At 50.0% G+C, this 23,289-nt stretch overlaps 2 protein-coding genes across 22 annotated transcripts in view, besides 3 other annotated features; both read left to right on the top strand.

Annotated features, from left to right (window-relative positions):
• The window catches only part of KYAT1 (kynurenine aminotransferase 1), a 49,582-nt gene extending 28,906 nt beyond the window's left edge, over positions 1 to 20,676 (top strand). For 3 of the 19 annotated variants that reach the window (NM_001352989.2, NM_001122671.2, NM_004059.5), the window contains exons 2-13: positions 8,207 to 8,265; positions 10,817 to 10,964; positions 15,251 to 15,400; positions 15,481 to 15,567; positions 15,805 to 15,933; positions 16,696 to 16,816; positions 17,545 to 17,621; positions 17,750 to 17,839; positions 17,951 to 18,137; positions 18,216 to 18,295; positions 19,792 to 19,878; positions 19,975 to 20,676. In NM_001352989.2, coding sequence (NP_001339918.1) covers positions 8,213 to 8,265; positions 10,817 to 10,964; positions 15,251 to 15,400; positions 15,481 to 15,567; positions 15,805 to 15,933; positions 16,696 to 16,816; positions 17,545 to 17,621; positions 17,750 to 17,839; positions 17,951 to 18,137; positions 18,216 to 18,295; positions 19,792 to 19,878; positions 19,975 to 20,034 — 1,269 coding nt within the window. In that variant the 5' untranslated portion in view covers positions 8,207 to 8,212 and the 3' untranslated portion in view covers positions 20,035 to 20,676. Of the gene's footprint in view, positions 1 to 5,974; positions 6,186 to 6,758; positions 6,939 to 7,867; positions 8,014 to 8,100; positions 8,266 to 10,457; positions 10,965 to 15,250; positions 15,401 to 15,480; positions 15,568 to 15,804; positions 15,934 to 16,695; positions 16,817 to 17,512; positions 17,622 to 17,749; positions 17,840 to 17,950; positions 18,138 to 18,215; positions 18,296 to 19,103; positions 19,879 to 19,974 lie in introns of those variants that run through there. The other 16 variants (NM_001352995.2, NM_001352996.2, NM_001352994.2 and 13 more) reach the window with 12 other exon arrangements.
• KYAT1-SPOUT1 (KYAT1-SPOUT1 readthrough) overlaps positions 1 to 23,289 on the top strand; it is a 62,300-nt gene that overhangs the window by 28,333 nt on the left and 10,678 nt on the right. The window contains exons 2-13 of one of the 3 annotated variants that reach the window (NR_182311.1): positions 8,207 to 8,265; positions 10,817 to 10,964; positions 15,251 to 15,400; positions 15,481 to 15,567; positions 15,805 to 15,933; positions 16,696 to 16,816; positions 17,545 to 17,621; positions 17,750 to 17,839; positions 17,951 to 18,137; positions 18,216 to 18,295; positions 19,792 to 19,878; positions 19,975 to 20,391. Coding sequence is in view for 1 of the 3 variants with exons in the window: in NM_001414398.1 (NP_001401327.1) it covers positions 8,213 to 8,265; positions 10,817 to 10,964; positions 15,251 to 15,400; positions 15,481 to 15,567; positions 15,805 to 15,933; positions 16,696 to 16,816; positions 17,545 to 17,621; positions 17,750 to 17,839; positions 17,951 to 18,137; positions 18,216 to 18,295 (1,122 nt within the window). In the remaining 2 variants the exon portion in view is untranslated. Of the gene's footprint in view, positions 1 to 8,206; positions 8,266 to 10,816; positions 10,965 to 15,250; positions 15,401 to 15,480; positions 15,568 to 15,804; positions 15,934 to 16,695; positions 16,817 to 17,512; positions 17,622 to 17,749; positions 17,840 to 17,950; positions 18,138 to 18,215; positions 18,296 to 19,791; positions 19,879 to 19,974; positions 20,392 to 23,289 lie in introns of all 3 variants that reach the window. The other 2 variants (NR_182310.1, NM_001414398.1) reach the window with 2 other exon arrangements.
• Positions 8,251 to 8,477: a silencer, noted in NCBI's record as "fragment chr9:131607420-131607646 (GRCh37/hg19 assembly coordinates)". NCBI's record gives its function as "represses an EF-1alpha promoter that drives an FKBP-Casp9 reporter gene in an ReSE screen in phorbol 12-myristate 13-acetate-treated (for megakaryocytic differentiation) K562 erythroleukemia cells {active_cell/tissue: K562(+PMA)}" and the evidence as "EXISTENCE:reporter gene assay evidence [ECO:0000049][PMID:32094911]".
• Positions 14,786 to 15,286: an enhancer, noted in NCBI's record as "H3K4me1 hESC enhancer chr9:131600611-131601111 (GRCh37/hg19 assembly coordinates)". NCBI's record gives its function as "activates a minimal SCP1, AML or CMV promoter by ChIP-STARR-seq in primed H9 embryonic stem cells {active_cell/tissue: H9 hESC(primed)}" and the evidence as "EXISTENCE:reporter gene assay evidence [ECO:0000049][PMID:30033119]".
• Positions 22,873 to 23,096: a silencer, noted in NCBI's record as "fragment chr9:131592801-131593024 (GRCh37/hg19 assembly coordinates)". NCBI's record gives its function as "represses an EF-1alpha promoter that drives an FKBP-Casp9 reporter gene in an ReSE screen in K562 erythroleukemia cells {active_cell/tissue: K562}" and the evidence as "EXISTENCE:reporter gene assay evidence [ECO:0000049][PMID:32094911]".

The raw sequence follows: 23,289 nt of genomic DNA, 5'->3' as shown, positions 1-23,289 counted from the left end.
TATAAAATGGGAAATTTCTTTTTCTTACAGTTTGTTGTAACGAATTAAACAGCTGATTTAACTGATCATCCATACTATATTTGATTAGGGCTGTCTCAACATCCTTTGTAGCCTGTACTACATATGCAGAATCTGAAACAATGTTAATAGGCTGATTAAAACCTTGTAACACTGAAATGACAGCAACCAACTCTGCTCTTTGAGCTGAGTGATATTGAGTTTCAATGACTTGTTCTTTTGGCCCAGTTTAAGCCACTTTTCCATTGCTGGAACAATCAGTAAACGCCATCAGAGCATTTTCTAAAGGTTTATATCTGGTAATTTTAGGTAAAATCCAAGTAATCAATTTTAAGAACTGGAAGATTTTTGTTTTTGGGTAATGATTGTCAATAATTCCCACAAAATCAGCAAGACCAATCTGGCATGCAGCAGAATTGATAAAAGCTTGTCTAACCTGTTCCTTGTTTAAAGGAACAATGATTTTATCTGGGTCACTTCCACACAATTTTACTATATGTAGTCTTGCCTGACCAATTAATGTAGCCATTTGATCTAAGTACAATGTAAAAGTCTTAGTTGTACTGTGAGGAAGGAATGACCACTCTGCAAGATCAGTATTTTGAACAATAATGCCTGTTGGAGAATGTGCAGTAGCAAAAATCAAAAGTTGGAGTGGGGCTAAATGATCTATTCTATTTACTTGTGCTGACCGAATTTTTTCTTCAACTAATTCAATTTCTTTAGTTGCTTCTGGAGTTAATGGTTTTTTACTGTTTAAGTCTGGATCCCCTCTCAAGATAGAAAACAAATTTGACATGGCATAAGTAGGGATGCCTAGAGTTGGCCGAATCCAATTAATATGTCTTAGCAATTTTTGAAAGTCATTTAATGTTTTTTAATGTGTCTTTTCTTATTTTTATTTTTTGTGGTTTAATTTTCCTTTCCTCTACCTGCATTCCCAAATAATGGAAAGGAGTAGAGGTCTGAATCTTATCAGATGCTATTGTCAGTCCTGCGTTTGCAACATCTGTCTGCAGAAATGTGTAACAGTCAATTAATTTGTCTCTTGTTTCTGCAGCACACAAAATATCATCAACATAATGAATGACATAACAATCTGAAAACTTGTCTCTAACTGGTTGAAGAACTTGAGCTACAAAAGTCTGACAAATAGTTGGACTGAGGCAACACTTTCCACTAAAACCTGGCTGGTTCTTTATTATTTACGGCTGGTATAGTAAAAGCAAATTTTTCAAAATCCTGTTTTGCCAGAGGAATGGTAAAAAAGCAGTCCTTCAGATCAATTATAATTAAAGGCCAGTCTTTGGGGATCATGGCCAGAGAGGGCATCCCGGGTTGGAGAGCACCCATGGGTTGTATTATGGCATTAACAGCTCTTAAGTCAGTCAGCATGCGCCATCTGCCTGATTTTTTCTGAATTACAAACACAGGAGAATTCTAAAGAGAGAAAGTGGGTGAAACATGTCCTTTTTTAAATAGTTTTTTAACTATTTTATGTAGCGCCCCCAACTTTTCCTTAGAGAGTGGCCACTGTTTGACCCATACAGGACACTGCAGGGCGAGTCTGAATTGCTCCTTCACTGTAGTGAACTGTAGGTTGGGCAATAATGAGTGCCACGAGCCAAGTCGCAGTGTGCCTAGTTTCAGGCTGCCTCCCCCAGCACTCACTCGGCTGAGGAGGAGGTGGCCATTGTGGTTGTAGCCCCAATGGCCCCAATGATTCTGGACTTTTTCCTTTTAATTTTAATGTTTCAGGATATATTACCTCCTGTAATTGATTGTAGTCAACACTTTGCGTTGACTGAGCCATTACCGGCTCTGCTACATATTTACAATGTGAACTTTCCGTTCCTTTCTTGAACTCTGTCTCTGCCTCTTCTTCACAATCTATCACACAGCTTTCAGGGGCATCAGAAACTGAAATGCTATCTTCTTCTATTTGAAATGGTTCTAAAGTTGCTTTAATAATGGCCCAATCATTCCATACTGTAAGTGGGATGATTTTACCTTCCCTACTTGCTTGTTTTAATTCCTTGCCAATTTTTTCCCAATCTTTTAAATCTAAAGTTCCTTGTTCTGGAAACCATGGGCAGAATTGTTCTATTGTTTGAAATAGCGTAATTAGATTTTCTGTAGAAGCTTTAACTCCCCCTCTTCTTAAGAGAATTTTAATGAAGCTGAGATAAGAGGCATATTTACTTTCAGTTTGCCCCATTGTTACCCTGGATTCCTCCGAGCGCACAAGCATACTGCAAGGCTGACCGTGGACGTACTCGGGAATCTCTCATCAGCTGTCCTCAATACTCACGTTCTCAGCATAACTTCACCCTGGAGAAAGGCCCCATATTGGGCGTCAGATGAAGGGGTGGCCTGCCCCTCCATACCTGTGGGATATCTCGTCAGGTGGGATGAGAGACTGAGAAAAGAAATAAGACACAGAGACAAAGTGTAGAGAAACAACAGTGGGCCCAGGAGACCGGCATGCAGCATATCAAGGACCTGCACCAGTACCGGTCTCTGAGTTTCCTCACTTTTTATTGATTATTATTTTTATTATCTCAGCAAGAGGAATGCAGTAGGAGAGCAGGGTGATAATAAGGAGAAGTTCAGCAAAAAACATGAGCAAAAGAATCTGTCATAATTAAGTTCAAGGGGAGGTACTATGCCTGCATGTGCATGTAGGCCGGATTTATGTTTCTCTCCACCCAAACATCTCAGTGGAGTAAAGAATAGCAGGCAGCATTGCTGCCAATGTGTCTCGCCTCCCGCCATAGGGTGGTTTTTCTCCTATCTCAGAATTGAACAAATGTATAATCAGGTTTTATACTGAGACATTCAGTTCCCAGGGGCAGGCAGGAGACAGTGGCCTTCCTCTATCTCAACTTCATGAGGCTTTCCTCTTTTACTAATCCACCTCAGCACAGACCCTTTACAGGTGTTGGGCTGGGGGACGGTCAGGTCTTTCTCATCCCACGAGGCCATATTTCAGACTATCACATGGGGAGAAACCTCGGACAATACGCGGCTTTCCAAGGCAGAGGTCCCTGTGGCTTTCTGCAGTGCATTGTGCCCCTGGTTTATTGAGACTAGAGAATGGCGATGACTTTTACCAAGCATACTGCTTGTAAACATTTTGTTAACAAGGCATATCCTGCACAGCCCTAGATCCCTTAAACCCTGGTTCCCTACAACACATGTTTTTGTGAGCTCAAAGTTAGGGCAAAGTGGCTGGGGCAAAGTTACAAATTAACAACATCTCAGCAAAGCAATTGTTCAAGGTACAGGTCAAAATGGAATTTCTTATGTCTTCCATTTCTACATAGACACAGTAACAGTCTGATCTCTCTTTCTTTTCCCTACACTGAAGAAGGAGGATCGCTTGAAGTCAGGGGTTCAAGAACAGCCTGGGCTGGCCAGGCATGGTGGCTCATGCCTGCAATCCTAACACTGTGGGAGGCCGTCATGAGCAGAACAACTTCAGGCCAGGAGTTCAAGACCAGCCTGGCCAGTATAGCAAAACCCCATCTCTAATTAAAATACAAAAATTAGCCAGGCATGGTGGCACACACGTATAATCCCAGCTACTCAGGAGGCTGAGGCAGGAGAATCACTTGAACCCAGGAAGTCGAGGCTGCAGTGAGCTGAGAAGGCACCACTGCACTCCAGCCTGGGTAACAACGTGAGACCCTATCTCAAAAAAAAAAAAAAAAAAAGAAGAAAATAAAAAATTTATATGTGTGTATTCTGTGAGATAGAGGTCCAAATTCATTCTTTTCTTTTCTTTTCTTTTTTTTTTTTTTTGAGACAGAGTCTCACTTTGTCTCCCAGGCTGGAGTGCAGTGGCGTGATCTCGGCTCACTGCAACCTCCATCTCCCAAGTTGAAGCAATTCTCTGCCTCAGCCTCCTGAGTAGCTGGGATTACAGGTGCCAACCACCATGCCTGGCTAATTTTTTGTATTTTTAGTACACCATCTTGGTTTCACCATCTTGGCCAGGCTGGTCTTGAGCTCCTAACCTCATGATCAGCCTGCCTCGGCCTCCCAAAGTGCTGGGATTACAGGCATAAGCTGCCACGCCTGGCCCCAAATTCATTCATTTACATGTGGATATTTAGTTGTCTCAGCACCATTTGTTCATTTGTTGAAAAGATTATTATTTCCCACCCCCCACCCCCGCTTTTTTTTTGAGCCGGTGACTTGCTCTGTCACCCAGCCTGGAGTGCAGTGGTGTGATCTCGGCTCACTGCAACCTCCGCCTCCTGGGTTCCAGCGATTCTCCTGCCTCAGCCTCCTGGGTAGCTGGGACTACAGGCATGTGCCACCATGCCCTGCTAATTTTGTATTTTTCGTAGAAATGGGGTTTCACCATGTTGACCAGGCTGGTATCGAACTCCTGACCTCAGGTGATCCGTCCACCTCAGCCTCCCAAATTGCTGGAATTACAGGCATGAGCCACCATGCCTGGCCTCCCCACCTTTTTTTTTGAGACAGTCTCATTTTGTCGCTTAGGCTGGAGTACAGTGGCACGATCTTGGCTCACTGCAACCTTTGCCTCCCAGGTTCAAGCAGTTCTCCTGCCTCAGCCTCACAAGTAGCTGGGACTACAGTCATGTGCCACCACACCCAGCTAATTTTTTGTATTTTTATTAGAGATGGGGTTTCGCTGGTCTCAAACTCCTGACCTCAAATGATCCTCCCGCCTTGGCCTCCCAAAGTGTTCGTGTTACAGGCATGAGCCACACCCAGCCTCCCAATTTTTTTTTTTTTTTTTTTTTTGAGACAGAGTCTCACTCTGTCACCCAGGCTGGAGTGCAGTGAGTGGCGTGATCTCGGCTCACTGCATCCTCCACCTCCTAAGTTCAAGTGATTCTTCTGCCTCAGCCTCCCAGTAACTGGGATTACAGGTGCACACCACCATGCCTGGCTAATTTTTGTATTTTTAGTAGAGACGAGGTTTTAGCATGTTGGCCAGGCTGGTCACAAACTTCTGACCTGAAGTGATCCACTCGCCTCAGCCTCCCACAGTGCTGGGATTACAGGCGTGAGCCACCATGCCTGGCCCCCATTTGAGTTTCTTAGCATCTTATCAAATAGCAATTGTGACCATTTATTTCTGGACTGTCAGTTCTATTCAATTGACTTATATATCTATCTTTAAGCAGTATCACACTTTCTTGGTTCCTGTATGTTTGCATTAAGCTTCCAAATTGTGCAGTGTGATTTCTTCAATTTTTTTCTTCTTTTTCAGGCATTTACTTTTTTTTTTTTTTTTTTTTTTGAGACATATCTCCCTCTGTCGCCCAGGCTGGAGTGCAGTGGTGGGATCATGGCTCACTGTAGCCTTGACCTCTCCAGGATCAAGTGATTCTCCCACTTTAGCTTCCCCAGTAGCTGGGACTACAGGTGTGCACCATCACACCTGGTCAATTTTTGTATTTTTGTAGAGACGGTGTTTCAGTATGTTGCCCAGGCTGGTCTCAAACTCCTGGGCTCAAGAGATCCTCCTGCTTTGGCCTCCCAAAGTGCTGAGTTTACAGGTGTGAGACACATTGCCCTGCTTGAATTTGTTGATTGCATCTCCATGGTGTTATTTAACATGTTCTTCTGTCCCTGTATTTTAGTCATTCAACAGTGTGATCTAATTTAGGGCCACTTTTACAGCAGGAATAATTTGCAGGTGGTGTATGTGTTTCCAGAGTCAGAACATGTTTGGTTTATGCTCTTGGTGATATTCAGGGCTATCAGTGATCCTCTCCTGGATCATTTTTTAATTAGAGGTGATTTGTGTTTTGAAAGGGTCACTTGGGTTGCTGGGGGGTGTATTGTATATGAGTAACAGGGTTCTTATAAGGACGGAGTCGGATAATCATGCAACAGAGCACTTGGTGCTATTCCTGGCACGCAATGACCATATTGTTGTTGTTGTTGTTGTTGTTGTTGTTGTTATTGTTAGAGCTGTGTGTGGGGGACCCAAGTCCTGAGCTCGGAGGCATTTTCTGGCCAGGGCTGTTTCCTCCCTTCTCCCCTGCCTCTGGAAAAGTCTGCAGTGCCCCAAGGCTCTGGGAGGCATGTTCAGGACTGCAGCAGCCATCTCTGTGCACCTGGTGGGGCCCCTTCAGGGAAGGAAGGCTGGAGCCCCACTCACTTGGTTCTTGCACCAGACTGTAAGTGCCCTAACCCCAATACTCTGCCACCTGCATGGCCTGGGGCTTCTGGGGTCTGGCTCGTTCCTGGCTTCAAAGCTGTGCATGAGCCTTCTCTTTCAGGGAGCCCTCTTTAACTGCAGCCTGTATGTGGGCTTCTCCCTTGCCCCTGCTTCTCTAGTCTAGAACTTGTAGCTCTGCATCTGAATAGTCAGCTTGGGCGCTGTAGGGTGCTGCTTCCCATGATCCCCTGTGCCCATCCCAGAACCCAGTACCTGGTAGGGACTCAATAAATGTCAACTGAGCCAGGCGCGGTGGGGTTCCTGGGCCATGGAAGACCTGGCACTTACTCAAATGGTCCCAAGGCCCCTCCAGGACAGGGGGGCCTGGTGTTGAGATTACTGTGGCTGCCACCCTGACCAGGTCCTTGCCAGCTTCTCTTCTGACCCTGGGCAGGTACCTGAGCCTCTTCAAGCCTCAGTGTCCTCATCTGTTAGATGGAGACTATTGTGGCACCTCTAGTGAGAGTGCAGTGGGAACTGAGCGAGGTGGAACTGAGCAAAATCCTGAGCCAGGGTTCACTATTGACCACAGCAGGTGGCTGAGAAGAATGTTGGATCCCCAGCTCCACGGCCCACCAGCCATCTGGGACTGGCAAACCCACAGGAACGGAAGGTTCCTCAGGGACCACAAAGCCCATGTGAGGTCCCTGCTGCTGAAGGGATTCTGAGGACAGGAGGAGCCAAATTACCTATCCAGGGTCACCCAGCCAAGGTGGGTTAGGACCTGAGTTTGGTGGCTCTCAGGTCTGGCCAATTTCTTTCTTTCTTTTTTTTTTTTTTTTTTTTTTTTTGGTAGAGTCTTGCTCGTTGGGTCGGGCAGGAGTGCAGTGGCTGGCACGATCTTGGCCCACTGCAATCTCCATCTCCCAGGTTCAAGTGATTCTCAGGCCTCAGCCTCCTGAGTAGCTGGGATTACAGGCATGTGTCATGACGCCCAGATAAGTTTCTTTGTTTGTTTTTCCCAGACTGAGTTTCACTCTAATGCTCAGGCTGGAGTGCAGTGGTGTGCTCTTGCCTCACTGCAATGTCTGCCTCCCAGGTTCAAGTGATTCTTGTGCCTCAGCCTCCCAAGTAGCTGGGATAACAGGTGCGTGCTACCACGCCCAGCTAATTTTTGTATTTTTAGTAGAGATGGGGGTTTCACCATGTTGGCCAGGCTGGTCTCGAACTCCTGACCTCAGGTGATCTGCCCGCCTCAGCCTCCCAAAGTGCTGGGATTACAGGCGTGAGCCACTGTGCCCAGCCCCTGGCCAGTTTCTGCACACCAGTGGCTGAGGAGGGAGCTGGCCTGGGAGGAACACCGGGAGGGGAGGGGCGAGCCAGGAGCCAGGACCCCGGGACCCTCCGAGGAGCGGATTAGTGCCTCCCTCAGAGTTAGGACATGGCCTTGGGTCCAACAGGCCTAAGTCTGAGTGTGTGTGTTGTGTGGCCTTAAACACATCACTCCCCCTCCTGCACCCTCCAGCCTCTGTTTTCCACCTTCTGTTTTCTCATTGATAAGATAGGCCTGACCAGGTCATTCAGGGAATGAAATGGAAGTGCTTAGCAAGACCTCTGTAAGTGGAGGCTGCTGCTGTCACTGTTGCCATTATCCTCCCTCTCCGCTCCACCCACCTCCTGCTCCTCTTCTTTAACCCTCAGCCCTTCCTGAGTCAGACTTTAACCTGGCCAAGTCAGGGCTCTGTCTCAGGACGCATGGAGCCAGGGCTGGAAGTCTCCACTGGGCAGGCGCCAGGCAGCCCCTGCAGGTTGGGGAGGTGGAGGCTGCTGGAGTCAAGAGGAACCAGGTGAGGGTGTTGGAGCATAACAGGCTTGGGAGGCAGGCAGAAACCTGCCCTTCTGCAAACTCTATCTCTTCCCCCTCCTGGGAGCAGACAGGATGGCGCTGTGGCCTGAAAGCAGCTGTCCCTCCTGTGTGCAAGCTCGGACTGCTGCACCCAGACAGATTCCATCTCTGACCTTCCACTTGTTCGTCTCCAGCTCGCCATGGCCAAACAGCTGCAGGCCCGAAGGCTAGACGGGATCGACTACAACCCCTGGTGAGCCAGCTGGGCTGGGGAGGTGTGTGGGTGTCCCCTCGGGCATGGGTTGGCCATCCCTGGGTTTACAGCAACTCAGTAGTACTCCAGATGGTGGCGGTACACAGACTGCCAGATTCCAGCCATAGCTCAGGAGAGACAGGGCCCGAGGGAGTAGGCTTGGTTCAAATCTCAGCTTTCTTCTGCATGACTGTGCCACTAGGACAGGTGACATACCTGCTCTGAGCCTCATCTCCCCAGCTGCAAAATGAAGAGTTATACCCACCTGGAGAGCGTTGGGGAGGAAAAAGTAAAATGCTGTCCAAAGCCATTCTACCCAGGCACCAAGCTAAGGCCTTTCCAGGGATGACTCTTTCTCACTTGGTATAGAGTCAGATAAACTAAGATAAGTAAAATAAGCAAGTAAGATACAGTCAGCTCTTCACCAGACATTTGCAGAGGTTGATATTGTTTTCTTTTTTGACTTGTTTTATTTTCATTTTATTTTTGAGACGGAGTTTTGCCCTTGTCGCCCAGGCTGGAGTGCAATGGTGCGGTCTCGGCTCACTGCAACCTCTGCCTCCTGGGTTCAAATGATTCTCCTGCTTCAGCCTCCAAGTAGCTGGGATTACAGGCGTGCAACACAACGCCCAGCTAATTTTTTTTCTTTTTCTTTTCCCCCGCAAGACAGAATCTTACTCTGTCACCCAGGCTGGAGTGCAGTGGCATGATCTCGGCTCACTGCAACCTCCCCCTCACAGGTTCAAGCAATTCTCCTGCCTCAGCCTCCCAAGTAGCTGGGATTACAGGCGTGCGCCACCACGCCCAGCTAATTTTTTTTTTTTTTTTGTATTTTTAGTAGAGATGAGATTTCACCATGTTTGCCAGGCTGGTCTCGAACTCCTGACCTCGTGATCCACCCGCCTCAGCCTCCCAAAGTACTGGGATTACAGGCATGAGCCACTGTGCCTGGCCCTAATTTTTATATCTTTAGAGAAAATGGGGTTTCAGCATGTTGTCCAGGCTGGTCTCAAACTCCTGACCTCAAGGGATCTGCCCTCCTCGGCCTTCCAAAGTGCTGGGGAATACAGGCATAAGCCACCGGGCCCAGCCAAAAATGACACATTTTAGACATATTTATTGGTATGCAAATTCAACTCAGCCAGGTCTTCACTCTGCTCCAAACTAGCCCCAAACCACATACCAGCCTCTTCATCCAGCTTCCCAGCCTTTCTCCCACCTGGAGAGGTGGCCCCCAGGCAGGGCCAGAACAGAGGATTATGGGTCCAGAGATGATGTGTGCCTGGGCTGGTGGGGCCCTGTTCTGCCCAGAGTAGGGTCAAGAGCATCAAACTTTGCTTGAGATGGAAGTAGAAAGGCTGGCTGGCTGTGCCTTGTACTAGCTGGGAGGCTTTAGGCAAGTCACTCCACTCCTTATCCCCACAGTGGTCCAGGAACAAGATGTGCCTCACAGGCCATTGTGAAGGCTATATGAGCAGAGCGTTTAACTGTGGTGTTGACGAATCCAAGGAGGAGTCATGCAATCTGTACAGGGGGTCTCAACTAGTATTTGGAAAGAATAGAGTAGGATAGGACAGGACAGAAAATACTGCAGTAGATTGCACCAAGAAGGATGAAGCTTCCATTCCATGTTTGTGCTCCACAGGGTTGATGATGCAAAGGTGATTTCTTGGCCGGTAGTGGTGGCTCACGCCTGTACTGCTAGCACTTTGAGAGGCCAAGGGGGGCGGTGGATCACCTGAGGTCAGGAGTTCGAGACCAGCCTGGCCAACATAGCAAAACCCCATCTGTACTAAAAATACAAAAATTAGCTGGGCGTGGTGGCGGGTGCCTGTAATCCCAGCTACTCAGGAGGCTGAGGCATGAGAATCGCTTGACCTCGGGAGGCGGAGGTTGCAGTGAGTTGAGATTGCACCACTGCACTCCAGCCTAGGGGATAGAGCGAAACTCTGTCAAAAAAAAAAAAAAAAGATGATTTCTTCCTATGGGTCATGGTGGAAGAACTTGGAAAGCCCCTGGGCTGATTCCTGCGATTAACAATGTGCCTGACTGACCTAATCTCAATGTAGGGGACCAGCTGTGACACTTAGGCAGATCTTCAGGCCAGGACAGTTGCTGATTGTCTAGTTTTTGTTTTTCTTGTGTGTGTATGTGTGTGTTTTTTGTTTTTTGTTTTTGTTTTTTTAAGACAGAATCTCACTCTTGTTATCCAGGCTGCAGTGCAATGGTGCGATCTCGGCTCACTTCAACCTCCGGTTCCCGGGTTCAAGTGATTCTTCTGCCTCAGCCTTCCAAGTAGCTGGGATTACAGGCCCCTGCCACCATGCCTGACTAACTTTTGTATTTTTAGTGAAGACAGAGTTTCACCATGTTGGCCAGGCTGGTCTCAAACTCCTGACCTCAGGTGATCCGCCCACCTCGGCCTCCCAAAGTGCTGGGATTACAGGCGTGAGCCACCACACCTGGCCGGTTGTCCAGTTTTTCTAAACAGGCCGAAGTCCAGGTCACCATGGAGGGCTGGGCTGGTGCTGATTCTCCATTTGTTACCCAGGGTGGAGTTTGTGAAACTGGCCAGTGAGCATGACGTCGTGAACTTGGGCCAGGGCTTCCCGGATTTCCCACCACCAGACTTTGCCGTGGAAGCCTTTCAGCACGCTGTCAGTGGAGACTTCATGCTTAACCAGTACACCAAGACATTTGTGAGTCTCCCCATCTCTCGTGGAGGCACTGGGGGAGGAAGGGGACAGGGCTTTCTGGACTTCAAGCCCACACAGCTGTCAGGCTTCAGGGGACAGAGCCAGGGGATTCTGTATGACCATAGTTCAGTGTTTACTGAGCGTATCCTCTGTCCCAGAGCCTTCGCCTCGTGGTCTAGTGGGGATGGCAGACAAGAAGCCAGTAACGACAGGCAGTTGATACATGATGTGATGGAGGAGGATGGGATATCGTGCGAGTAAGAAAGAGGGAATGAAACCTGGGGAGGGGGCTGGAGAGATGCACGAAGACTTCCTGGAGGAGGTGACACTTAAACCAAGTCCTGAAAGATGAGCTACTGGTTGGATTACACAATAAATCCAAACGTTTTCCGGAAAGGACCACATAGTAAATATGTGACACTGCTTGGATTAGAACAGTGGTTCTTTTTTTCTTTTTCTTTTTTGAGACAAGGTCTCACTCTGTTATCCAGGCTGGAGTGCAATGGTGCGATCATGGTCCACTGCAGCCTTGACCCTGCCAGTCTCAAGTGGTCCTCCCACCTCAGCCTCTGGAGTAACTGGGACTACAGGTGTGCATCACCATGCCCAGCTAATTTTATTTATATATTTATTTATTTATTTTTGAGTCAGGGTCTCACTCCTGTCACCTAGGCTAGAGTGTAGTGACATGATCACGGCTCACTGCAGCCTGTACCTCATGGGGCTCACATGATATGCCATTTCCTGGGGCTCATGTGATCCTCCCACCTCAGCCTCTAGAGTTGCTGGGACAACAGGGGCATGCCACCTCACCCAGCTAATTTAGAGACAGGGTTTCACCATGTTGCTCAGACTGGTCTGAAACTCCTGGGCTCAAGTGATCCTGCCACCTCGGCCTCCAAAAGTGCTGGGATTACAGGCGTGAGCCACTGAACCCTCATTCTTTTTTTTTTTTTTTTTTTGAGATGGAGTCTCCCTCTGTCGCCAGGCTGGAGTGCAGGGGCGCAATCTCGGCTCACTGCAACCTCCCCCTCCCAGGTTCAAGAGATTCTCCTGCCTCAGCCTCCCGAGTAGCTGGGACTATAGGGGTGCGCCCCCACGCCCAGCTAATTTTTGTTTTGTTTTTTTTTTAAGACAGTCTCGCACTGTCGCCCCGGCTGGAGTCTGGAGTGCAGCGGCACGATCTCGGCTCACTGCAACCTCCGCCTCCGCCTCCGCCTCCGCCTCCTGGGTTCAAGCCATTCTCCTGCCTCAGCCTCTTGAGTAGTTGGGATTACAGGCGCCCGCCACCATGCCCAGCTAATTTTTGTATTTTTAGTAGAGACGGGGTTTCACCATGTTGGCCAGGCTGGTCTCAAACTCCCGACCTCGTGATTCGCCTGCCTCGGCCTCCCAAAGTGCTGGGATTACAGGCGTGAGCCACCGCACCTGGCCATTTTTTGTATTTTTAGTGGATACTGGGTTTCACCATGTTAGTCCGGTTGGTCTCGATCTCTTGACCTCGTGATCCACCCACCTCAGCCTCCCAGAGTGCTGGGATTACAGGCGTGAGCCACCGCACCCGACCGCACTCGTTCTTTTTAATGGCTGCATACTGTTCTGTTGCCTGGATGTGCCATAATTTATTTAAGCAGTTCTGCACTGATGGACTGCTTCTGCTATCTCAATATCATAAGCAATGCCACAGCAAATATCCCTGTGTGGACATCTTTGTATACATATGTATTTCTCTAAGATAAATTCCTGGAGGTAAAACTAGCAAAAGAAAGACTATAAATATTTATAAATACAATAGGTGGATATTGTTAAGAAACAGTGTGTGCCTATAATCCCAGCTACTTGGGAGTCTGAGGCAGGAAGATTGTTTGAGCCCAGGAGTTTGAGGCCAGTGCAACATAGTGAGATCCTGTCTGAAAAATAAACAAACAACTAAGTAAATAATTGCCCTCCAGTAAGGTTTACTCATTTACATCCCTGCCAATAGGCTGGTCTCAGAGCTGGTTGGAAAGTTCCTTCTTTGATCCAAAAAAAAAAAAAATCATTTGGGTATGTATCTTTTTCTTTTCTTTCTTTCTTTCTTTTTTTTTTCTTTTAACTAGAGACAAAAGCTGGGTATGGTGGCTCACGCCTATAATCCCAGCATTCTGGGAGGCTAAGGCTGGCAGATCACCTGAGGTCAGGAGTTCAAGACCAGCCTGCCCAACATGGTGAGATCCCATCTCTAATAAAAATTAGCTGGGCGTGGTGGTGGGTGCCTGTAATCCCAACTACTTGGGAGGCTGAGGCACAAGAATCGCTTGAACCCGGGAGGCGGAGGTTGCAGTGGGCCGAGGTGGTGCCATTGCACTCCAGCCTGGGTGACAACAACAACAACAACAACAAAATAGAGACAGGGTCTCCTTATGTTACCCAGGCTGGTCTCAAACTCCTGGGCTCAAGCAATCCTCCCACCTTAGCCTCCCAAAGTGCTGGGTTACAGGCATGAGCCACTGTGCCCAGCCTCATTAAATATTTTACCTCTTTCTTGTATGTTGCAATATTTTTCTCTTCCTGTTTTGACCTTGCTCATGGTGCCTTTTATTTTTATTTAATTAATTAATTTATTGTCTAAGACAGAGTCTCAGTTTTATTACCCAGACTGGTGTGATCATAACTCACTTCAGCCTTGATCTCCTGGGCTCAAGCAATCCTCCTGCCTCAGCCTCCCGAGTACCTGGGACTACAGGCACGTGATACTACACCTGGATAATTTTTTTGATTTTCCATCAGTAGAGACAGAGTCCCTCTGTGTTGCCCAGGCTGTTCTCAAACTCCTGGCCTCAAGCAACCCTCCCGCCTCATACTCCCAAATGCTAGGATTACAGGCGTGAGCCACGGTGCCTGGCCTGTGCCTCTTGTTGTACAGAAAATTTTTATATTTGTGTGGCCAAATCTGGTTTAGTGAGTTACTGAGTTGAGTTCTAGATAAAGTTTCAATCACTTGGCTTAGCCTTGAGTATTTTTGTTTTGTTTTGTTTGTTTTTGTTTTTTTTGAGACGGAGTCTCGCTCTGTCGCCCAGGCTGGAGTGCAGTGGCGCGATCTCGGCTCACTGCAAGCTCCGCCTCCCGGGTTCACGCCATTCTTCTGCCTCAGCCTCCCGAGTAGAGCTGGGACTACAGGTGCCCGCCACCATGCCAGCTAATTTTTTGTATTTTTAGTAGAGACGGGGTTTCACCTTGAGTATTTTATAAGTGTCCTCAGCAAACAAGTTTCTGGATCTAATCTTCCTCTCAAAAAGGGGTGCTTACAAAGCTGCAACATGAGGTTCCTGACTGTCAACTGTGTGTGACTTTAGACAAGTAATTTCTTCTCTCTGGGTCTCTATTTTTCTACCTGTCAAATAGTGGGCATCAGGCCAGGCACGGTGGCTCACATCTGTAATCCCAGCACTTTGGGAGGCCAAAGCAGGCAGATTACCCAAGGTCAGAAGTTCGAAACCAGTCTGGCCAACATGGTGAAACCCCGTCTCCACTAAAAATACAAAAATTAACCAGGCATGGTGGTGCGTGCCTGTAGTCCCAGCTACTTGGGAGGCTGAGGCAGGAGAATCACTTGAACCCAGGAGGCGGAGGTTGCAGGGAGCCGCGATTGTGCCACTGCACTCCAGCCTGGGTGACATGAGTGAGACCCTGTCTCAAAATAAATAAATAAATAAATAAATAAATAAATAAATAAATAAAAGCCTCTCCCGCAAAGCTGCTGGGAGGATCAAGTGGGCACAAACATGCTTCTTAAACTTACAGATGTGGAAAGTGGGGAGTTTCTACTGCCTTGTGGGCTCTTGGACTGAGGTTCATGGAGGCAAGCACTTCCTCTGGTTCTCTGCTAAATCCCCGCCCTGGGCTTCGGGCCTGGCACAGAACAGGCCCTGTGGCAAATGCTGGTGGAGGAGATGGAAGAGCTTAGCACTGGATATCTGAGTCAGTGCAGGCCTGGTGGTTGGCACCCTGGAGTCTGGGACCATATAGATTGTGTGACCTTTACCTCCCAGAGTACACAGGATCACAATAGCACCTGCCTCTGGGTTGTTGAGAGGATGAGATCAAAGAAATCCCACAAATAGCTTGGTGTGTAGAGGAATCCAGAGTGTTGAAAGCTGATCTATTCCACGTCCCCTGGGGCCCAGGCTACCAGTACCTGACTTTGCCCCCAGGCCTGCTGCTGGAAGGTGCTAGAATTGCCTGGATACAGCTGGGCCGGAGGATGGGCCCAGGCTGAGCTGGACAGTTAACCCCTGCTGTCCTGGCAGGGTTACCCACCACTGACGAAGATCCTGGCAAGTTTCTTTGGGGAGCTGCTGGGTCAGGAGATAGACCCGCTCAGGAATGTGCTGGTGACTGTTGGTGGCTATGGGGCCCTGTTCACAGCCTTCCAGGCCCTGGTGGACGAAGGAGACGAGGTGAGTGGGCAAGACTTGGGCTGAGTGGGACTGAGAGGTCAGGGCCATGCTGACTCCAGCTGATTTGACCCTTATATCAGGTCATCATCATCGAACCCTTTTTTGACTGCTACGAGCCCATGACAATGATGGCAGGGGGTCGTCCTGTGTTTGTGTCCCTGAAGCCGGTAAGGATGCTAGGTAGAGGATGGATGGGCAGAGGGATCCAAGGCGTGGGCTGAGTTGGACCCTGGGAGTTGGAAAAGGAGGAAAGAAGTGAAGGAAGCCAGTTCCTCTAAGCTGGGAGGGCAGAGGGGAGGTGTGTGTGTTGGGATCCCAGGGGAGAGAAGGTGGGGATAGATGCTGGGGAAGACCTGCATGTCAGGTGGTTAAGTGGTACCACCCCATGCCACCTGCTCTTGCAGGGTCCCATCCAGAATGGAGAACTGGGTTCCAGCAGCAACTGGCAGCTGGACCCCATGGAGCTGGCCGGCAAATTCACATCACGCACCAAAGCCCTGGTCCTCAACACCCCCAACAACCCCCTGGGCAAGGTACTGGAGGGACCTCCTTCCCTGGCCCCCTGCGGACCTGGTCATGTCTCCTGCACTGTTACTGAGTTGCTGCTGTGGGGCCTCCGTTTCTTCGTTTGTGTGTGGGAGGGCCACACACAATGAGCACTGAGGACCAAGACTCCAGAGGTCCCAGGACAGGGGCAAGAATCCCCAGGGAAGGCCTGAGGGCTGGGACAGTGAACTGGGCTGGGAGCCACCATCACTTCCCAGTGACCCTGGAATAGTGACTATGCCTCTCGAAGTATCTCATCTGTAATGTGGGAACCTGAGGGAACTGACCTCATGGTCAGTGTTGCAGGGATCCAATGTGATGGTGCAGAACAGCCCTTAGCACTGGGCTTGGCTGTATTCGCCATTTATTTATTTTTTTGAGACGGAGTCTCGCTCTGTCTCCCAGGCTGGAGTGCAGTGGTGTGATCTTGGCTCATTGCAACCTCTGCCTCCTGGGTTCAAGCAATTCTCCTGCCTCAGCCTCCCGAGTAGCTGGGATTACAGGCACCCGCCACCATGCCCAGCTAATTTTTGTGTTTTTAGTAGAGACGGGGTTTCTCCATGTTGGCCAGGCTGGTCTTAAACTCCTGACCTCCAGTGTTCCGCCCGCCTCGGCCTCCCAAAGTGCTAGGATTACAGGCGTGAGCCACCGCACCTGGCCGCAGCTGTGTTCTTTAACCTCTCTGAGTAGGCCTCTGTGTTTGGGGACGGTCCCAGCTGCAGGTCTGTGCTCTCCTTGGGCATCTGCAGGTGTTCTCCAGGGAAGAGCTGGAGCTGGTGGCCAGCCTTTGCCAGCAGCATGACGTGGTGTGTATCACTGATGAAGTCTACCAGTGGATGGTCTACGACGGGCACCAGCACATCAGCATTGGTGAGCCAAGCCAGCCTGGGGCCCCTCCCCTGCACATTGGTGGGAGGGCCTTGACCCCACCTGAGAGTCAGCGCAGGCCTGGTAGTTAGAACCCAGGGTTATGGAGCCCTGCAGATCCTGTGACCTTTGCCTCCCAGAGTACACAGTGTCACAGTAGCACCTGCCTCCCTGGTTGTCGAAAGGATGAGGTCAAAGAAATCCTATGCCGAGCATGGTGGGTCACACCTGTAATCCCAGCACTTTGGGAGGCTGAGGCTGGCAGATCACTTGAGGTCAGGAGTTTGAGACCAGCCTGGCCAACATGGTGAAACCCTGTCTGTACTAAAAGTACAAAAATTAGCTGGGCATGGTGGCACGTGCCTGTAGTCCCAGCTACTCAGGAAGCTGAGGTAGGAGGATCACTGGAACCTGGGAGGCGGAGGTTGCAGTGAGGCAAGATGGCGCCATTGCATTCCTGCCTGGGCAACAGAGCGAGACTCCATCTCAAAAAAAAAAAAAACAAAGAAAGAAATGGGGGGTGGAGGGAGGGAGGGAGAGAGAGAGAGAGAGAAAGAAGGAAGGAAGGAAAGGAAAGGAAGAAAGAAAGAAAAAAAATTGTGCAAATAACTTAGTATGTAGAGGAATCCAGGGTGTCAAAAGCCTATGCGTGTCCCCTGGGGCCCAGACCACCATCCTCCCCCGTCCCCCTCACCCCAGTCTCAGCAGCTGTTCTGTTCGGCCTTGGGCAGCCAGCCTCCCTGGCATGTGGGAACGGACCCTGACCATCGGCAGCGCCGGCAAGACCTTCAGCGCCACTGGCTGGAAGGTGAGTTGCTGAGGGTGGGAGGTCACCACCCCCTGCAAGATCCTTGGCAAGTGAGGTGGGCCTGAGAATGAAGAAGGCTTTAGCCAGGTCTGGAAGGACCTCTCCCCCTACCTGCGCCCCTGCTGCAGGTGGGCTGGGTCCTGGGTCCAGATCACATCATGAAGCACCTGCGGACCGTGCACCAGAACTCCGTCTTCCACTGCCCCACGCAGAGCCAGGTGAAGAGGGGCAGGACGTCACGGGGGAGTGGGGGGACAACAAAAGAGCCCAGGCTGGCCCCCGCGTCAGGGAACAGCTGATCTATCTGTGTGTCCATCTGCCCTGCCCAGGCTGCAGTAGCCGAGAGCTTTGAACGGGAGCAGCTGCTCTTCCGCCAACCCAGCAGCTACTTTGTGCAGTTCCCGCAGGCCATGCAGCGCTGCCGTGACCACATGATACGTAGCCTACAGTCAGTGGGCCTGAAGCCCATCATCCCTCAGGGCAGCTACTTCCTCATCACAGACATCTCAGACTTCAGTGAGTGAGACTTGCCGGTCTGGGCAGGGCGCAGGGGCTGGAGGCTGCAGGGGGCTCAGTGTGGCCTCTGTCTCCCAGAGAGGAAGATGCCTGACTTGCCTGGAGCTGTGGATGAGCCCTATGACAGACGCTTCGTCAAGTGGATGATCAAGAACAAGGTGGGCTGGGCCTCTGCCAGGCAGCCATGTATGGTTTCACAGGTTGTGTGCTGCTCAAGGGTGCCCAGGCAAGAGGCTCCTGGGCTAGATCTTAGTCCAGCCTCTGCCGTCAACCTTGGGGCAGGGTTGTATCCACTTCAGAGAATGAGGAGGCTGTTTCTTTTTTTCTTTCTTTTTTTTTTTTGGTTGAGATGGAGTCTCACTCTTGCCCAGGCTGGAGTGCAGTGGCGCGATCTTGGCTCACTGCAAGCTCTGCCCCCCAGGTTCACGCCATTCTCCTGCCTCAGCCTCCCGAGTAGCTGGGACCACAGGCTACTTTTTTTTGCCCGGCTAATTTTTTTTGTATTTTTGGTAGAGACGGGGTTTCACCATGTTAGCCAGGTTGGTCTTGATCTCCTGACCTTGTAATCCACCTGCCTCGGCCTCCCAAAGTGCTGGGATTACAGGCGTGAGCCACTGCTCCTGGCCTTTTTTTTTTTTTTTTTTTTTTTGAGACAGAGTCTCACTCTGTCGCCTAGGTGGGAGTGCAGTGGCGCAATCTCAGCACACTGCAACCTCCACCTCCAGGGTTCAAGCGATTCTCCTCCCTTAGCCTCCTGAGTAGTTGGGTAACTGGGATTACAGGCATGTACAACCACGCCTGGCTAATTTTTGTATTTTTAGTAGAGACGGGGTTTCACCATGTTGGTCAGGCTAGTCTCCAACTCCTGACCTCAGATGATCCACTCCCCTTGGCCTCCCAAAGTGCTGGGATTACAGGCGTGAGCCACCGTGCCTGGCCTGAGGAACCTGTTTCTAACTTGCACAGAGATGCTGTGTGGGCTGGCAGGATTTCCTGCCTCTTTGGATCTCCATCTTCCCATCTGTACAGTGAGGAGTTGGCCCATTAACTCTTGAGTTCATCCAGGTTTGATCTGTGACTCTAAGGCTTTGTTCTTCTCTGGCTCTGCCCTGACCTGCTCCATGATCCTCCCTCTGTCAGCCTCCCTCTGCCCTCTATACCCAGGGAGGGACTTGGAATGATGTTCTGGGATTCTTTTCTTCTGACTTTGTGTTTGTTTTTGTTTTGGATGGATTTTCTCTCTTTCGCCCAGGCTGCGGTGAAGTGGCGCAATCTGGCTCACTGCAACCTCCACCCCCGGGTTCAAGCAATTCTCCTGCCTCAGCCTCCCAAGTAGCTGGGATTACAGGCATGCGCCACCACACCCGGCCAATTTTTGTATTTTTGGTAGAGACGGGGTTTAGCCATGTTGGCCAGGCTGGTCTTGAACTCCTGACCTCAGGTGATCCACCCGTCTCAGCCTCCCAAAGTGCTGGGATTATAGGCGTGAGCCACCGCACCTGGCCTTGTTCCTCTGACTTTGATGCAGCTCTAGGTGCTGGATTGGAGCTAACTCTCCTTCCCCGCCTGGTCGTGGGAACCTCTCTGTCCCCTCCGGAGCCAAGGCCTGCTGGGCCACGAGGCCGTGTTGAGACATGTCCTTCCTCCTCCCCAGGGCTTGGTGGCCATCCCTGTCTCCATCTTCTATAGTGTGCCACATCAGAAGCACTTTGACCACTATATCCGCTTCTGTTTTGTGAAGGTAAAGGGCAGGGCTGGGGGAGGAAAGACCTCACAGAGCTTCCCAAGGCCGGCTGGGCACATGGGGAGAGTGTAGGACTAATCTGTGCTGGCGCAGGATGAAGCCACGCTCCAGGCCATGGACGAGAAGCTGCGGAAGTGGAAGGTGGAACTCTAGCCCTGAAGTCACGCCTTGGCCCTGACATCCCCACATGCCCGCAGAGATCCTCTTTGAGTGTCTGTCTTTGTCCAGGTTTCAGACATTTCTAGGTTGGGGAAGATGCTATTGGGAAACCTCTTCTCCGTGACACAGAATGTTCTGGGTGGGAGCCGCCCTTCTTCATCTTAGAGAACCAAGTGCCTCCTGTCTGAAAGGTGAGGGTGGCCTGACCTGGGCCTCTCCCTGCCCCTCCATAGGTGGGTTTGTAGGGTCTTGTGTTGCTTCTGGTCTCTCCAGGCTTGGCTGAGACGGACGGTAGACTTCCACCATGTACCGATCACATCCCAGCTCTGCATGGCCCCTGCTAAGGCTCAGGTATAACCTCACCTTCCCTGGCTCATCTTGGCCTTGGGGAGTTGCCTTTAGGCTTGAGTCCTCAAGCCTCTCCTTTTCGTCCATAATAAAATGTTTAAGTTATTAAGATCCTTATTGACGGCTTCTCTCTGCTTCACACTCATGCTGATGGCTGATCTAACTTGTGAAGAATGCCCAGAAGAACCTCAGACACCCCCACAACTTTGTACAAATGGTTACTGTAGTCACATAGTGGCACAACCAGGCCTAGCACCCAAGGCCCTCAAATGAATTCCTCACTATTAATCTTTGTTGTTGTTGTTGTTGTTGTTGTTGTTGTTGTTGTTGTTTTTGAAACAGAGTCTCGCTCTGTCCCCCAGGCTGGAGTGCAGTGGCATGATCTTGGCTCATTGCAACCTCCACCTCCTGGGTTCAAGCAATTCTCCTGCCTCAGCCTCCTGAGTAGCTGGGACTACAGGCACCTGCCACCACGCCCGGCTAATTTTTGTGTTTTTGTAGAGATGGGGTTTCACCATGTTGGCTGGGCTGGACTCAAACTCCTGACCTCAGGTCATCTGCTCGCCTCGGCCTCCCAAAGTGCTGGGATTACAGACGTGAGCCACCATAGCTGGCCTCTCATATTAATCTGATGGTAGCAGTTATTGGTGCTGGGTGTGGTGGCTGGGGTGGGGGTGTCATATGTGTTTGTGTGTGTGTGTGTGTGTGGAGAGGATTGGGGTTCGTGACAAGGAAGACATGGACATTCCCACAGGGGTGAGAGAACAGCACAGTGGGGGCCAGGAGGACCAGGGACTTAAATAATTCTCAGGAGGAGGACTGAATGTTGATCGTGCAAGCCCTACCTGCGAGGCACTCAGACGCACATCATCTTACACAACCCTCTGAGACTGAGACCTGAGTTATCTCCAGTTCACAAGAGAGGAAAGCACTCTGGAGGTGAGGTGAAGTGGTGTGCCCAGGCCTTCTAGCTGGCCCCGATTGAGTCTCACTGGATAGCAATAGTAGCTCCTGAATTTCTTTGGAAGGTGGTGTTAGGGGCCTGGTCTTGAAGTTGCATTTGCATAGCAAGCGCATGGGTTTGGCTCATATCATATGTTTAACTGGGGGAGCTGATAGGAATATATCATATAATAAAATACATATTTGGTGTTTGCCCCTGGTCCTTAGTAAAGAATTCCTAAAATCCTTGGAGTTTCTGGAAGATAGGCATGTCTTGTTAGTCACATGGAATCCCTCTGCACTGTACGATTACGGGGTCAGAACTTTTAGCCCATCGGGCCCCCTCCATCTCTGCCTCCATGGAGGTGTGAGGGACTAGACTTTGAGCCCAATCACATGGTCCATGTCTGTTTGTTATTGTTGTTTTGGGGGGATTTTTGTGTTTGTTTTTTCAAATGGCCAATGTCTTAATCAGTCATGCCTACAAAATAAACCTGTCAAAAATCACAACAAATTTAGTATAAGATCTAAGTTCGAGACCAGGCACGGTGGCTCACACCTGTAATCCCGGCACTTTGGGAGGCCGAGGCGGGTGGATCACGAGGTCAGGAGATCGAGACCATCCTGGCTAACACGGTGAAACCCTGTCTCTACTAAAAATATAAAAAATTAGCCGGGTGCAGTGGCGGGCACCTGTAGTCCCAGCTACTCGGGAAGCTGAGGCAGGAGAATGGCATGAACCCAGGAGGCGGAGCTTGCAGTGAGCGGAGATCACGCCACTGCACTCTAGCCTGGGCGACAGAGCAGAGCGAGACTGTCTCAAAAAAAAAAAAATCTAAGTTCGAGACCGGGCACGGTGGCTGACACCTGTAATTCCAGCACTTTGGGAGGCCGAGGCGGGTGGATCACCTGAGGTCGGGAGTTCAAGACCAACCTGACCAACATGGAGAATCCCGTCTCTACTAAAAATACAAAAATTAGCCGGGCTTGGTGGCAGGCGCCTGTAATCCCAGCTACTTGGGAGCTTGAGGCAGGAGAATTGCTTGAACCTGGGAGGCAGAGGTTGCAGTGAGCCGAGATCATGCCACTGCACTTCAGCCTGAGCAACAGAGTGAGACTAGATCTCAAAAAATAAAAGGCATTAATGGCTCAAGTCTATAATCTCAGCCCTTTGGGAAGCCAAGTTGGGAGGATTGCTTGAACCCTGGAGTCTGAGACCAGCCCTGGCAACATAGTGAGACACTATCTGTACAAAAAGAAAAAAAAAAATTAGTCGGGCATGGTGGCTCACACTTGTAGTCCCAACTAATATAGTCTGTTAATTAAAAGAGAACGAGGCCGGGCGTGGTGGCTCATGCCTGTAATCCCAGCATTTTGGGAAGCCGAGGTGGGCGGATCACCTGAGGTCAAGAGTTCGAGACCAGCCTGACCAACATAGAGAAACTCCATCTCTACTAAAAATACAAAATCAGCCAGGCGTGGTGGTGCATGCCTGTAATCCCAGCTACTCGGGAGGCTAAGGCAGGAGAATCGCTTGAACCCAGGAGTTGGAGGTTCCTGTGAGCTGAGATCGAGCCATTGCACTCCAGCCTGGGCAAGAAAAGCGAAACTCTGTCTCAAAAAAAAAAAAAAAAAAAAAAAAAAAAAAAAAAAAAGGCCGGGTGCAGTGGGTCACGCCTGTAATCCCAGCCCTTTGGGAGGCCGAGGCTGGAGGATCACTTATGGTCAGGAGTTCAACCAGGCTGGCCAACACGGGGCCAACATCAACACCATCTCTACTAAAAACACACACAAAAAAATTTGCTGGGCATGGTGGCACGCTCCTGTAATCCCAGCTTCTTGAAAGGCTGAGGCAGGAGAATTGCTTGAACCCAGGAGGTGGAGGTTGCAGTGAGCCGAGATCGCGCCATTGCACTCCAGCCTGGGCAATGAATCGAGACTCTGTCTCAAAAAAAAGAA

Source organism: Homo sapiens, chromosome 9, assembly GCF_000001405.40.
Source record: "Homo sapiens chromosome 9, GRCh38.p14 Primary Assembly".
Classification (NCBI taxonomy): Eukaryota; Metazoa; Chordata; class Mammalia; order Primates; family Hominidae; genus Homo; species Homo sapiens.
The sequence above is the reverse complement of the archived record's forward strand: the minus strand, read 5'-3'. Positions and strand labels throughout refer to the sequence as shown.